The 14760-nt window shown below is 52.4% G+C and overlaps 2 protein-coding genes across 2 annotated transcripts in view, besides 5 other annotated features; both read left to right on the forward strand.

Annotated features, from left to right (window-relative positions):
* Positions 1-14760, forward strand: part of ACCSL (1-aminocyclopropane-1-carboxylate synthase homolog (inactive) like) — a 138910-nt gene that overhangs the window by 18373 nt on the left and 105777 nt on the right. The gene's annotated exons all lie outside the window — the stretch shown is intronic.
* Positions 2785-2914: a silencer, noted in NCBI's record as "silent region_3270". NCBI's record gives its function as "represses an Ori minimal core promoter by ATAC-STARR-seq in GM12878 lymphoblastoid cells {active_cell/tissue: GM12878}" and the evidence as "EXISTENCE:reporter gene assay evidence [ECO:0000049][PMID:35858748]".
* Positions 2955-3084: a silencer, noted in NCBI's record as "silent region_3271". NCBI's record gives its function as "represses an Ori minimal core promoter by ATAC-STARR-seq in GM12878 lymphoblastoid cells {active_cell/tissue: GM12878}" and the evidence as "EXISTENCE:reporter gene assay evidence [ECO:0000049][PMID:35858748]".
* C11orf96 (chromosome 11 open reading frame 96) lies at positions 3197-4438 on the forward strand. Its single transcript, NM_001145033.2, has one exon. It carries the CDS (start codon positions 3465-3467, stop codon positions 3831-3833), a length of 369 nt encoding a protein of 122 aa, NP_001138505.1. The 5' UTR covers positions 3197-3464; the 3' UTR covers positions 3834-4438.
* Positions 3824-4653: an enhancer, noted in NCBI's record as "H3K4me1 hESC enhancer chr11:43964814-43965643 (GRCh37/hg19 assembly coordinates)". NCBI's record gives its function as "activates a minimal SCP1, AML or CMV promoter by ChIP-STARR-seq in naive H9 embryonic stem cells {active_cell/tissue: H9 hESC(naive)}" and the evidence as "EXISTENCE:reporter gene assay evidence [ECO:0000049][PMID:30033119]".
* Positions 4654-5482: an enhancer, noted in NCBI's record as "H3K4me1 hESC enhancer chr11:43965644-43966472 (GRCh37/hg19 assembly coordinates)". NCBI's record gives its function as "activates a minimal SCP1, AML or CMV promoter by ChIP-STARR-seq in naive H9 embryonic stem cells {active_cell/tissue: H9 hESC(naive)}" and the evidence as "EXISTENCE:reporter gene assay evidence [ECO:0000049][PMID:30033119]".
* Positions 7492-7992: an enhancer, noted in NCBI's record as "H3K4me1 hESC enhancer chr11:43968482-43968982 (GRCh37/hg19 assembly coordinates)". NCBI's record gives its function as "activates a minimal SCP1, AML or CMV promoter by ChIP-STARR-seq in primed H9 embryonic stem cells {active_cell/tissue: H9 hESC(primed)}" and the evidence as "EXISTENCE:reporter gene assay evidence [ECO:0000049][PMID:30033119]".

Genomic DNA, 14760 nt, shown 5'->3' on the forward strand with positions numbered 1-14760 from the left:
TTCTGATGTGAGCATTTCAGGCCTCATTCAGGTGGATGGTGGGTTTTAATAAGCAGCCAGCAGACTCCACAACGGCCCCCCCTCCCCACCCTTCTCTTCTCCAACACATTTGCCTGTGTGTCAATGGCACCACCATCACACACTTGCTCAAGAAAATACACAGAAGTCAACTTATTTTTTATTTTTTGAGACAGGGTTTCACTCTGTCACCCAGGCTGGAAGGCAGTGTCGAAATCTTGGTTCACTGCCACCTCTGCCTCCCAGGTTCAAACGATTCTCATGCTTCAGCCTGGGTAGCTGGGATTACAGGCACCTGCCACCACACCTGGCTAATTTTTGTATTTTTAGCAGAGACTGGGTTTCACCATGTTGCCCAGGCTAGTCTTGAACTCCTGACCTCAAGTGATCCATCCGCCTTGGCCTCCCAAAGTTCTGGGATTACAGGCATGAGCCACCGTGCCTGGACAGAGGTCAACCTTGATCCCTCCCTGACCCACAGCTCCCATCTAATCTATCAGCAAGTTCTCTCAGTTCTGTCTTCAGGGAAATCCCAAATGTGACCATTTCCTACATCTCCATTGCCTCTACCCTAATCCAAGCCTTCAGTGTTGTGAGGTCACATAATATTCTTCCAAGAGAGCTTCTTGCTTCTTTCCCAGCTCCTCTCCACACAACAGCCAGAGTGAGTATTATTATTATTGTTATTATTATTATTACTGTATAGAGACTGGGTCTCACTATGTTACCCAGGCTGGTCTCCAACTCCTGAGCTTAAGTGATCCTCTCACCTTGGCTTCCCAAAGTGTTGGGATTACGGGTGTGAGCCACCGTGCCTGGCCTCCAGAATGAGTTTTGAAAAACATAAATTGGAGCATGCATTAAGATGCCTTACTGTTGCCCTTAGAATGAAATTATATCTTTTTTTTTTTTTTTGAGACGGAGTCTTGCTCCATTGCCCAGGCTGGTGTGCAGTGGCGCAATCTCGGCTCACTGCAAGCTCCACCTCCCGGGTTCACACCATTCTCCTGCCTCAGCCTCTCGAGTAGCTGGGACTACAGGCACCCGCTGCCACGCCTAGCTAACTTTTTTTTTTTAATTTTTAGTAGAGACGGGGTTTCACCGTGTTAGCCAGGATGGTCTCGATCTCCTGACCTTGTGATCCGTCCGCCTAAGCCTCCCAAAGTGCTGGGATTACAGGCGTGAGCCACCGCACCCGGCTGAAATTCTAACTTTGTAACCTGCCACTAAGGCCTCAAGTGATTGTCCCCCCTTCCCATCCCCCTCTCTCACTCTGCTTTAGCCAACAAGCCTCCTTGCTGTTTGTTCTTCGAATACACCAAGTGTATTCTTGCCTTAGCGTCTTTGCACTAAGACTCCCTCTGCCCAGACACTCTCTTCCCACCTTGTCACATGACTGGTTCCATCTTTGTCCATTGCAGGGCAAACCGCTGCAGTGTAGTGGCTCAGGAGCCACGCTGCTGGGGTTTGAATCTCAGCTCTTGCTACTTCCTGCTGTGGGACCTTGGGGCAAGTTTTCTTAGCTTCTCTGTGCCTTGACTTTTCTACCTGTAAATGGCGATAAGAAATGTATGGTATTTGTTACCCAGGGTGGTTGGGAGGATTAAATAATATAGTGAACACATTGAGTTCACGCATCAAAAGTGTGCAGAGCATGGCCATACTAAGCACTTAGCATGTTATTATTGCCCTTCTGGTGGCAGCTTAAATATCCAGGCTCTGAGCAGCCTTTCCTGGTCCCGTGCTCTAAGCATCTCACCACCTGCATCCCCAGCTCATCGCCCTACTTTATTTCACCACAAAACATGTTCTTCTTCGTGTGTGTATCATCTGTCTCTCCCCACAACACCCCACTCCCATTAGAATGTAACTTTCATGAGGGCCAGGACTGTACCTTTCTTGTTGGCTTCCATGCCTTTCCTGAGCAGGAAAGTAACTTCTCAGTAAATCTGTGTTGAGTGGATACGGAAAGGACGGAGGCCAAATCCCACTGACCCCCTCCTTTTTGGGTGGCCCTGTGAGCCCTGCTGGGTGCCTGTCAGTGCCCCACATCTCAAGCCCACTTGGCCATGGCCAGGCTCACAGTTTCCTCTTGGGAGTCCCAGGACATAGGGCAGGGACTGCCCTGTGGACCTGCTCTTAGAGACCTTGGGAACACTGGTGAGATTTAGCTCAGGGTACTCACCCTCAGCAGGGGGCTGTCAGAGCATGGACTCTGGAGTCAGCCCATCTGTTTCCATCAGATACTAGTGGACCAGTTACTTATCCCCTCTGTGCCTGGTTTTCCCATATGTAAAAATGAGAGAATACCAATTACCTCATAGGGCTGCTGCTGTGAAGATTAAACAGGATAATATACGTAAAACAGAGCTCATGGTTGGCTTGGAGTAAAGCTCTCCAGATGGTAGCTATTATTGTTGTTGTTGTTGTTAGTGCCATATCCAAGTGTCACTCTTCAGAGCATGAATGGGGGTGCCCGAGGGACTTGGGTGGGGGAGTGAGGAGACAAACATAAAGAAGACATCTAGGGAAGGGAAGAACCGGAATGGAATAATCGAGATGTGTTTGCATTCGTGCGTGTGTGTGTGTGTGTGTGTGTGTGTGTGTGTGTGTGTGTGCGCGCGCGCGCCTGCGGAGGGGGGTGGCAAGGATCCAGAAGGGGAGCCCACCCCTTCTTCCGAGCTCAGCTCTGGGGAGCCGGGCGCTCAGGCTCGCCAGGCTGCAAAGAGAGCTGAGAGCTGCCTCGCGCCCCGCGCAGAACCGGCGGTGGAATAACCAGCGCCTCAAGTGTGTGCATCTGGGACCAGGGGGCGGGGGAGGGGGACCTGCGGCCCCGCGGCCAACCCGGTTGGTGCAGACTTGGGGATCCCAGAAGGGACAGTGCCCGCCCAGTCGCGGCGATTGAGGGTCCCTGTCCGGGCGCAGCTCGGGCCAGCCGCGTGCTCCGGGGCCGCGGCTTCTCCCGGAACCCCCGCGGGCGGGGCCTGCCTTCCGGAGCCGGTTGGCGGGGGGCGGGCGGCGCCGGGGAAGGGGCCGTTACTTTCCCAGAGCGGCGGGGCGACGTCAGGCGGAAGGGCGCGGGGCGCGCACGCTTTAAATGGCATTCGCTGTCATCCGAGCTCAGAGCCGTGTGGGCAGCCGCGGGCTATATAAGCCGCGAGCCTGGCCGCCGCGGGGCAGACGGCGACAGCAGCGGCGGCGAGCGCCTCGGAGCGCGGCGGAACAGCGCCCCCCGAGCCCCGTGCCCCCCGACGGGTCCGCCCGCCCGCCCGCCCTCCCGAGGAGCGCCGGCCCGGGCCCGCGAGGGCCGCCGCCACCCCGCAGCAGATTTGGATCCCCCGCCCGGCGAGCCCCCGGCTGCTGCCTCCCGGGGGGCCCCGGCGCAGCGGCCGCCCTCGGAGAGCCCCGGCGCCCCGCCGCCCGGCCCCGCAGACGCCGGAGGCGCCATGGCCGCCAAGCCCGGCGAGCTGATGGGCATCTGCTCCAGTTACCAGGCGGTGATGCCGCACTTCGTGTGCCTGGCCGACGAGTTCCCGCAGCCCGTGCGGCCCGCCAAGCTGCCCAAGGGCCGGGGCCGGCTGCGGCGGCCGCGCCAGTCTCGCTTCAAGACGCAGCCGGTGACCTTCGACGAGATCCAGGAGGTGGAGGAGGAGGGGGTGTCCCCCATGGAGGAGGAGAAGGCCAAGAAGTCGTTCCTGCAGAGCCTGGAGTGCCTGCGCCGCAGCACGCAGAGCCTGTCGCTGCAGCGGGAGCAGCTCAGCAGCTGCAAACTGAGGAACAGCCTGGACTCCAGCGACTCCGACTCGGCCCTGTAAGGGGCGCCGCCCGCGGGGGGGACGCGCGCGTCCGCGGTCCGCGCGGGGACCGGCGTGTGAACCCCGAGAGTGCCCGCGCCCTGCTCCCGGGGGACCCGCAAGGACCCGGGACCGCCGCTCCTCGCGCGCTCGGACTCCCGCCCCGCTGCGAACCGGTCGGTGCGCCCCTCGCCGCGCTCGCCCTGGCCCGGGAGCGCCGGGAGCGGGGCCGCTTTCCTCGTCCTTGTAAATGTTTATTTTTTAACTCTTCCCAGTGCGAACTCTGCTGTGAGTGTGTGCGGGGAGGCGCGCCCGCGCTGAGTCGGCGGCGGGTAGCCACTCCATGCCCTTGTCCGATGGTTTGCAACTCCGATTTTGCACACCGCTCCACCGTGCCCCCCAGCGCACACCCATTCACACTCACGCCAACACTCTCGCTGAACACTTTTATAATTGTTAGGCGTGGCCGTTGGGACTTTGGGCGCAGCGCGGCTGCTACTGCGTCTGGAGGATTGATATTTATTTTTGCATTGCGATGGCTGAAGGCATTTATTTAACGATCTTTTTACCTGGATATGTCTGTGAGGCTCCTGAAAGGAGACAAATAAAGTCAATATATTTGCACAGTGCAGTTTTCCAGGCTCTTGACTTTTTGCACCTTCGGGGTCCAGGCTCCCAAGACTCGGGGAGGTGGGGGAGGAGGTGGCAGGGGGATGTCGGACCAGGGAGCCGGGAGTGGAGCTACCTCCACAAGCTTCGGTCACCGGAACGAGGTTGCGCCACCGGTGCGCGGGTCGGTTGCCTGCCTCCCCAAGTGGATCCACCCCCGGTCCAGTGTGCTCCTGCGTCCCTGGTCTATTCCCCATCGCCGGCATCCGGGCTGAAGTGAAGCCGCAGGAGGGGCGGAGGCAGAGCTGACGATGGAGAGCTCTCTCCTCCGTACAGTTCACTTCCCAGAGCTGGGGTCAGGGTCCTCGCCCCGCACCCGCCACAGAAGACGCATCTCCCTCTGCGCTGATTCCTGGCGGCGGGTGGGGAGATGTCGGAGCCAGCAATGCGAGATGTTTGGGCGTTGGGACCCGAGAGTGGGCTGGAGGCCAGCCTGGGTTGGTCGAGAGTGTGGGTGCGCGCTCGCTGTCGCGGGCAGGTGACTCCCTGACCGCAGTTGACCCAGCGCAGTGCCTGGCGCTCCTGCGCTGCGGGGAAAACCGCGGCCGCTATGTCTCCAGCCGTTCTCTGCGCTCCGCAGGGTTCCTCCAGGAGGGTGGGGCATGTCTTTGGTTAGAGCCTGAAGGGCACCTGGGTACCATCGAGTCCTTCCCTTCTCCCCGCCCCTGCCTTTGTTTACATATGAGAAAACAAGCCTAGGGTAACAGGGAGAGGAGCGCCCCCAGTTCTCCGCACTCCTGGTCCAGGACTCTTGCACCGCAGGAGTTTGTCTTTCCAGTGCTCTTCAGCCACTTCCCGAATCCCTGTCTGCTTCCTAAATCCTCTGGTTTAGCAGTGTGGCAGGGCCACCTGGCTGCAGATGGCCACCAAGGTAACAAACTACATTTGGTTGAGCCGGGCAGGTCCCCACACTGGGGCCCTCTCCCAGACCCTCCCTCCAGGATTACTCCAGGGCTGACCCACCCTGACAGGTTTAGGGCTCCTGCTCCGGTTGCGGCGTCTCTGTGCTCGGGCGCCCTCTGGTGGTGGGGCTGGTGCGTGGGGGTCAGGAATCTCTAGGAGATACCCAGTCTCTCAGCTGCAGCGCAGAGCTCTGGAGAAGACAGCAGAGGAAACGAAACAAAGAAACAAAAATGGAACTACAGGGCCGGAGAGGGTGTTCTTCCCTCGGCTCAGAGAGAGCACAGGCTATGGCCTTGGTGGCTGTAGTATTTGGCCCGTGTCCCAGTCCCTGAGAACACGCTGGCCCAACAACGGGTTCCACTGTGGTGGGGTATCATGGCAGGAGACTCTTAACCTGCAAAGGCCTCAGAGATGTGAGGCCACTGTGGGTCGATGCTTTATTCCAGCCAGGGCAGCTGCCACCACTGGACTAGTTTGAGCTCCACGGAGTGGGAGGAACTTCCTCTGAGCCCAGCCTCATTCTCTTCTCTCTCCAAAGAAACTCCCTGAGGACAGAGGGGCGGACTCCACATCCTGTGCCCCTCTCTCTGTCTTACCTCTTCGGCAGCAGCTCCTCTTTCTACTCTTCAGGAGCTAGATGTCCCAAGTGTCTGGAAGACCTTCCAGTGGGCTTCTAGACCCTTCAGGCCTGAGATCCTCCCCTCTGCATAGCCTTCTCTCGCGGAAGAACCTCCTTCTCAGCCGGGCAGTGGTTCACGCCTGTAATCCCAGTACTTTGGGAGGCCTAGGTGGGCAGATCGCTTGAGCCCAGGAGTTCGAGACCAGCCTGGGCAACATGGTGAAATCCTATCTCTACAAAAAAAAAAAAAAAAAATTAGCCGGACGTGGTGGTGCACACCTGTGTTCCCAGCTATTCAGGAGGCTGAGGGGAGAGGATCACCTGAGCCCAGGGAGGTGGAGGCTGCAGTGAGCAGTAATTGCGGCACTGCACTCCAGTGTGGGTGACAGAGTGAGACCCTGTCTGAAAAAACAGAAACAACAAACAAACAAAAAGAACCTCCTGCTGCCTTCAGCCCCTACCTGAAGGGTCTCCTTGGGTTACCCCAGCCAACAACAGAGGTTATTGAGGGGACCATATTCCCTGCTCAGCTGTGGGCAGGCCCAGCACTGAGTAGGTGCTTCTGAAATGTTTGGGTTGAAATGAATAAAGAGGTGCTGAGGAAAATCCATTCCTATCTTGCCTGCTTCTGTTTTGTTGTTGTTGTTTGTTTGTTTGTTTTGAGATGGAGTCTCACTCTGTCACCCAGGCTGGAGTGCAGAGACATGATCTCAGTTCACTGCAACCTCTGCCTCCCAGGTTCAAGCGATTCTCCTGCCTCAGCCTCCCGAGTAGCTGAGATCACAGGCATGCCTGTGAGTAGTAGCCACCATGCCCAGCTAACTTTTATATTTTTAGTAGAGATAAGTTTCACCATGTTGGCCAGGCTGGTCTTGAACTCCTGACCTCAAGTGACCTGCCCTCCACGGCTTCCCAAAGTGCTGGGATTACAGGCGTGAGCCACCATGCCTGGCCCTGGTTCGTTTTTTAAGTTATTCTTGTAATTTTTTATTGCCCTAGAAATATTTGTTTATTATAATACAAAACAAGTCAGTCATATTCCCACCACCCAGAGATAAATAAGTTAACATTTTGGAGGTGATGCCTATATATGCATGTTTATTTTCTTTTACCAAATGAGTTTGTATTCTACATGCTATTTTTCAACCTGCTTTTTAAATTAATTGGATTTGCATTTAGTATCAGTATGCATCGATCCACATCATAGCTTTTCATAAATTCTATTGAATAGATACTCCATATTTAATTAAGTGAATGCCCCACTATTTAGTATAAAAGTGATGTCTTATTTGTCCCAGTTTCTTAGTTTTCCCACAAACGGGTAGTTCTAAGGGTTGATGTGGAGAGAAGCCTGATAGAAGCCGTGTCCCAGAGAGGCAGAGGGAGGGAGTTTGGGATGCTGCAGTATTAGAGGGATCAGGCTGGTCCTGGAAAGCCATGGCCCATGGGCTACATGGGGGTTGCTCTCTGGTTCTGAACATCTCTGCCCTGCACAGAGGAAGGAGGGCAGACTGGAGGGTAGGGAGCTTGTGTTAGTCCGTTCTGTGTTGCTATAAGGGAATATCTGAGCTAGGTAATTTGTAAAGGAAAGAGAATTATTTGGCTCACAGTTCTGCAGGCTATACAAGCATGGCACCAACATCTTCTTCTGGTGAGGCCTTGAGAAGCTTCCACTCATGGTGGAAGGTGGAGGGGGAGCAGGCATGTCACATGGCCAGAGAGGGAGCAAGAGGGAGGCCAGAGTCTTTTAAGCAAGCAGCTCTCCCGTGAACCAACAGAGGGAGAACTCACACATTGCCGTGGGGAGGGCACTAGCCATTCATGACGGATCCACCCTTATGACCCAAACGCTTCTGACCAGGCCCCGCCTCCAACACTGGGGGTCACATTTCAACATGAAATTTGGAGGGGACAAACATCCAAATCATATCAGAGGTCCTACCAGGCCCCTATGCAACGGCGGGGGCTCAGCTCCTCCCTGTGCTCACAGGCATTCCAAGGTGGCACGCAGCTCCAAGGAGAGGCAGGCTGGGGCCGGCTGGGCTGGGCCAGATATTAGAAGAGGAGGGAAGAGTGGGCAAGACATACAATGAAGGAGCAAGAGAGAGCAAGAGTCAGAAAGAGGTGGAGAGGAAGGAGGTCCCTCAGGGAGACAGGAAAACTCAGTGACAGAGAGAAGGCAATGGAAAGAGAAAGAGATGCAGGGGAATAGGATCAGGAGCCAGAGGATGTTGGATGTTGAGAGACAGAAGGATAAAGGCCCCCCTGGGAGATGGAGAGACACTGAGACAGTGAAAGAGAGAGAGAGAGAGAGAGAGAGAGGGAGAGAGAGAGACCCACAGGGGTAGGAAGGAGGGAAGGAGAATAGGAAGAAGGGTTCCTGGATAATGGGGCTCAGAGGAGAGAGAAGACAGGAGCCCGGGCATCTGAAAGAGCTGTGGAGCAGGCATGAGCTGGGTGGGTGGATGACTGCCCAGCTGGCTGGATTTATAGGCCTGTCCAAGGAGTCACCTCTGTCCTTCCCCTCCCTGCCTGGGCTTCAGCCTGCAGTCCTAGCCTGGGTGATGAGTTTTCAAACAGGCTGGAGCCCAGACCAGGCAGAGGTAATAGGTGGCCATCCCAGCTCTGGCCAACAGCCAGCTAAACATTTCTCTCTGGCCCTGGGGGAGATGTTTAGCAGAGAGTTCCTTTTGCTGATTTAAAAGCCATCTTGGCTTTTGCAGCCCACTGTGTGGCAGGGCTCTAGAGGGAAGGGCTGCCCATGAGCCCAGGGAATTGAGGTCAGCTATGGACTTCAGCTCTCCCTCCTGAAGCACATTTGGGGTAGGCCTTAGGCCCTTTGGCCTCTGGAAAAATAGCAGAGGGGATAAAGGCCACCATTCAGTGAGCACCTCCGATCAACACTCTACTTTCATCCTGATAAAGTTTCTCAGGCATTTTACAGGTGAGAAAACTGAAGCTCAGAGGGGTTAATTTTCTTGACCAATGCTACACAGATAGTCAGGGGTGAGCTGGGTTGCAACCCTTTATTTATTTATTTATTTATTTGAGACAGAATCTCCCTCTGTCACCCAGGCTGGAGCGCAGTGGAGCAATCTTGGCTCACTGCAACCTCTGCTTCCCAGGCTCAAGTGATCCTCCCACTTCAGCTTCCTGAGTAGTCAGCACTAGAGGCATGCACCACCACACTTGACTATTTTTTAAATTTTTTGTTGAGATGGGGTCTCCCTATATGGCACAGGCTGGTCTTGAACTCCTGGGCTCAAGCAACCCTCCCACCTCAGCCTCCCAAAGTGATGAGATTACAGGTGTGAGTTACTTCTCACTGTAACCCCCTGTGGCACAGCCATGAGACTGGGCTTGGCAGCTCTCCTGCTACAGGGAGTGTAACTGACCAGCAGGTGCTCTGGGTTTGAATCTATTGCCTTCTTTGACTGAGGCTGAACCCCCCTAGGGGCTGCTCCCTGCAAACATATGCATAGCTGGAATACTGAGGCAGAACTGTGCTTGGGAGATATGAGATTTCTTTGTTGTGGTCTTTGGTTCAGAGATTCCCTAATGGCTCTGCTGAAGCTGTTTGAGCCTGCAGCATGATTGATGGACAACCACTCTCAGGGCCAGATTTGCATAGTGGCCTGCAGGCCCTCCCAGTCTTCCCAGCTCCTTCTGTGTGACTGCACACAGGCATGACTCCTTTTCAGATCCTCGCACATTTCATCCCATCATGGTGTCTGCTTCCTGGAGAACCTGGGCTGGCACCCCCCTCCAACTCCCAGCAGCTTCCTGGTGCTTCCATGCCTTCTTGGCACAGGGGAGGGTGGTGGGCACCATTTTGGGAAGAACTGCAGGGAGATAGCAAATTTTACCAAACAGATCTGTGTTACAACGGTCTGCTGGGCCTGCATCTCTGCATGGGGAATAAGCACAGAGTGGCCTCTGTGTACCTATAAGGTATGAAAGGAAAAGAAATCTTGGGACCCCAAAGTCACTAAGCCAAAGGGAAAGCCAAGCTGGGAACTATGTCAGGCAAACCTGCCTTCTATTTTATTTCTAAATCAGATAGCTACAAAGATTAAAAAGTTACTTACTGGCCGGGCATGGTGGCTCACGCCTGTAATCCCAGGACTTTGGGAGGCTGAGGCAGGTGGATCACTTGAGGTCAGGAGTTCGAGACCAGCCTGGCCAACATGGTGAAACCCCATCTCTACTAATAATACAAAAATTAGCTGGGCATGGTGGCACACGCCTGTAATCCCAGCTACTTGGGAGGCTGAGACAGGAGAGTTGCTTGAACCCCGAAGGTGGAGGTTGCAGTGAGCCAAGATCGCACCACTGCACTCCAGCCTGGGTGACAAAGCAAGACTCCATCTCAAAAAAAACAAACAAACAACAACAACAACAACAACAACAACAAAACATACTTACCTCCCTCACAATTTGCCCTCGAGGAAGGGCCTCAAGATCTTTACCCTAAAACAATTCTGTTGAATTGAGCTGATGTGAGCTGATTGGCAATGTGAGCTGATAGTTTACATTGAAAGTCATTCCTCTGCTCAACTGAGACAAATGCATATCTGATTCTTTCCTCTGCCTTATTGTTTATGTAAAAATGCAGATTCACTGAGCCAGACTACATTGTGTATTCAGTGAAAGGCTGATCAAGGACTCAAAAGAATGCAACATTTGTCTCTTATCTACCTATGACCCGGAAGCCCCCACCTTCGAGTTGTTCCACATTCTGGATGGAACCAATGTACATCTTACACATATTGATTGATGTCTCATATCTCCCTAAAATGTATAAAACCAACCTGTGCCCTGACCACCTTGGCCACATGTTGTCAGAACCTCCTAAGGCTGTGTCACGGGCATGTCCTTAACCTTGGCAAAGGAAACTTTCTAAATTGATTGAGACTTGTCTCAGAGATATTTTGGGTTCACAAGGGCAAGTGGGTGAGGGACTCCCACATAGACTCTCATCCTTTCAGTCTGTCTATGCCAAAGGCATATTGACTCATAAAGGCCATCTCGCCATTCAGCTCCCAGTCCCGTGGTAGAGTGCTAATTTTTCACCAACATTGATTTTTCCCTTCCTCCAGGGCATGCAGCCAATGTATACATCCCAGATTCTCTTGTGTGGTCTTAAGATAGTGGGTGTACCAGTCCCTCCCTACCGGTATTCTCTTTCTCCTTCCCACAAGGGGGCACAGGGATGTGCCTACAACCCAGCGGGATGATCAAGCCCACAAGCCCAATGGCCTAGGGGATGCCAGAGAAACAAGATGGAAGGATCCCAGATCCCTGAATGACCTTGTGGAGCCGAACAGCCTGTGAGTCAGGAGTGATCACCTTGGACTATCACAGCTGAGGGTGCACACTTCTGTATTCTCTGAGCCACTGAATCCTTGTTGGATGTCTTTAGCAGCCTTTCCCTACCACAAATAAGCAGAAATTAGTACAATCCTGGTAGTGTGGTGCTGTCTTGACAAAAACTCTAAAACATAAGGCATTGACTTAGAGATTTTCCTGCATGCAGGAAGGGTACACATATTGTAGTTTGGAAAGTTGAAGACCCTTGTTATCCCTGGGAAAAGCATCTGGTAAAAACCATTTTTATGACATTGTGGAAAAGCAATCCTGAGTCAACCAAGCCCATAGCACTAAGAAGTGGTTGGAAAGAGCTAGAATATTAATATGCATTGGCTGCTCTTTGTGGCTTTTAGCAAATTATTCCAAGAAAGTCAGGAGAGATAGAAAGTCATAGAGAGAACCTAGAAACCTGGGGCCTTACAGAAGCAAAAGCCACCTGCCTTTATAATCCAAAGAGTGGGAGTTCTGTTGTTGCTTAGCCTTTCTCCAAGGCCACCCAAGGAGCCCAGTGAAAGCTCCAGCCCTGGAGCCAGGCTAGATGAATGGTGTTATCTTCCCACTCCAATCTATTGTTTTAGAATAGCCCCAAGGTAGCTGGGAATTAAAATGGGCCAGCTGGGCCAGAGCAGGAAACAAAGTAATAAAGCAGGCTCCAGACCTCTGGGGAGAAGACATCTTTGGATGTGGTTATTGGCACCTGGAACTGTCCGGAAGCACAAAGACCAGAAGCCTTTTAAGTATTTGAGGGAATTTGATTGCCAAGAAAACCAGGAATAGCAATGAATGATTATGATGGTTTGACCCCCCAAAGCAACCCCCAAAGAGGCCAGATCTTTTTTAAAAAATGCGTAATATGTAGTATGTAATGTAGAAGCTGTAACAGGGGTTGTTATTAAATTACATTGTAGGGCTGGATGCAGTAGCTCCCGCTTGTAATCCCACCCTGGGAGGCCGAGTCAGGTGGATCACTTGAGGTCAGGAGTTCGAGACCAGCCTGGCCAACATGGTGAAGCCCTGTCTCTACTAAAAATACAAACATTAGCCAGGCATGTTGGCGCATGCCTGTAATCCCAGCTACTCGGGAGACTGAGGCAGGAGAATCACTTGAATCCTGGAGGTAGAGGTTATAGTGAGCTGAGATCGTGCCTCTGCACTCCAGCCTGGGCAACAGGGTAACAGTCAGCTTCAGAAAAAGAAAAAAAAAAGTACATTGTAGATTGTACATATTTATCTTATATAGGTATCTTTTTTTTTTTTTCTTTCCAACTTTTATTTTAGGTTGGGGATATATGTGCAGGTTTCTTACGTGGGTAAATTGCGTGTCTCAGGGGTTTGGTGTACAGATTATTTAGTCACTCAGATAATCAGCATAGTACTGATGGATAGTTTTTTTCATCCTTACTCTCCTCCCACCCTCCACCTTCAAGTAGGTTCCTGTGTCTGTCGTTCCTTTCTTTGTGTTCATGTGTACTCAATGTTTAGTGCTCGCTTATAAGTGAGAACGTGCAGTATTTGGTTTTCTGTTCCCGTGTCAACTTAAGGGAGGAGACCACCCCTCATATTGTCTTATTCCCAATTTCTGCCTCCAAAGAAAGAAGTAAAAACTAAAAGGCAGAAATGAAATCCACAGGCAGGCAGCCCGGTGCTGCACCCTGGGTCTGGTTAAATATCGTCCCCTGACCTAACCAGTTATGTTATCTATAGATTCCAGACATTGTATGGAAAAGCATTGTGAAACTCCCTGTCCTGTTCTGTTCCATTCTGATTACTGGTGCATGCAGCCCCCAGTCACATACCGCCTGCTTGCTCAATTGATCATGACCCTCTCACGCGGACCCTCTTAGAGTTGTAAGCCCTTAAAAGGGACAGGAATTATTCACTCAGCTCACTTTTTGGAGGCATGAGTCTTGCTGAAGCTCCCGGCCAAATAAAGCCCTTCCTTCTTTAACTCGGTGTCTGAGGGGTTTTGTTTGCGGCCTGTCCTGCTACAAGCTCACTTAAGATAAGAGGCCAGAGCATTTAATAGTCACTTTGCTGCAGATGTGGCCACACAGGATGATGGGAAAAGGAGGATCTCCCAGAACCGGGTTGGCCATATTTGCCAACTGAGGAACCTCCTCTGCCAGAGCGAGGTCCTCATCGTTGCTGCCAGGAGGATCTGCCTGTTGCTATGCACAGTGACTGCTGAGTGTTTCCATTGTTTACTTTTCCAGATGGACATTTTTATTGTGGTTTTCCTATCCCTGTCTGTCAGAGGCATTTGAACCAGAGCGACTCCATCTTGAACAGAGGCTGGGTAAAATAAGGCTGAGACCTACTGGGCTGCATTCCCAGGAGATCAGGCATTCTTTGTTACAGGATGAGAGGAGGCTGGCACAAGTGCAGGTCACACAGACCTTGCTGATAAAAGGATGAGATATGCCAGGTGTGGTGGCTCACACCTGTAATCCCAGCACTTTGGGATGCCAAGGTGGATGGATCATGAGGTCAGGAGTTTGAGACCAGCCTGGCCAAAGAGACCAGCATGGTGAAACCCCATCTCTACTAAAAATACAAAAATTGGCCAGGCGTGTGGTGGGTGCCTGTAATCCCAGCTACTTGGGAGGCTGAGCCAGGAGGATTGCTTGAACCCAGGAGGCGGAGGTTGCAGTGAGCCAAGATCACACCATTGCACTCCAGCCTGAGTGACAGAGCGAGACTCTGACTCAAAAAAAAAAAAAAAAAAAAGGATGAGGTAAAAAGCCGGCCAAAACCTACCAAAACCAAGATGGTGATGAAAGTGACCTCTGGGTGTCCTCACTGTTCATTATATGCTAATTTTAATGCATTAGCATGCTAAAAGTCACTCCCCTCAGCGCCACAACAGTTTACAAATGCCATGGCCATGTCAGGAAGTTCACCTATATGATGTAAAAGGGGAGAAGCCCTGAACTCTGAGAATTGCCCACTCCTTTCCCAGAAAATTGATGACTAATTCACCCCTTGTTTAGCATATAATCGAAAAATAACCATACAAACCATAGGTCGCTCTGCCTATGGTGTAGCCGTTCCCTATTCCTTTACTTTCTTAATAAACTTGCTTTCACTTTACACTATGGACTCGCCCCAAATTCTTTCTTGTGAGAGATCCAAGCACCCTCTCTTGGGGTCTGGATTGGGACCCCTTTTCGGTAACCTGTCCACAGCTGTATTGGGATGTGCAAGGTGACGGGAAGGGGTGGTGGGAACAGGTGACTTGTCGTGCAGTTTCTATGTCACGGGACCATGAGGAGCCACATGTGGCTCTGGAGAGGACTTTCACTCTCTGATATCCTGTGCTTTGACCTGGAATTGTAAGTAGATGGGATTGGGGGTTGACTTCCTTGGAGATGAGCAAATGTGTTTTGT

The sequence above is a fragment of the Homo sapiens genome, chromosome 11 (assembly GCF_000001405.40).
Source record: "Homo sapiens chromosome 11, GRCh38.p14 Primary Assembly".
Lineage (NCBI taxonomy): Eukaryota > Metazoa > Chordata > Mammalia > Primates > Hominidae > Homo > Homo sapiens.

What these genes read in the sequence shown, in the direction of transcription:
- C11orf96 (NM_001145033.2), top strand. Translation starts at nt 3,465, where the DNA reads ATGGCCGCCAAGCCCGGCGAGCTGATGGGCATCTGCTCCAGTTACCAG.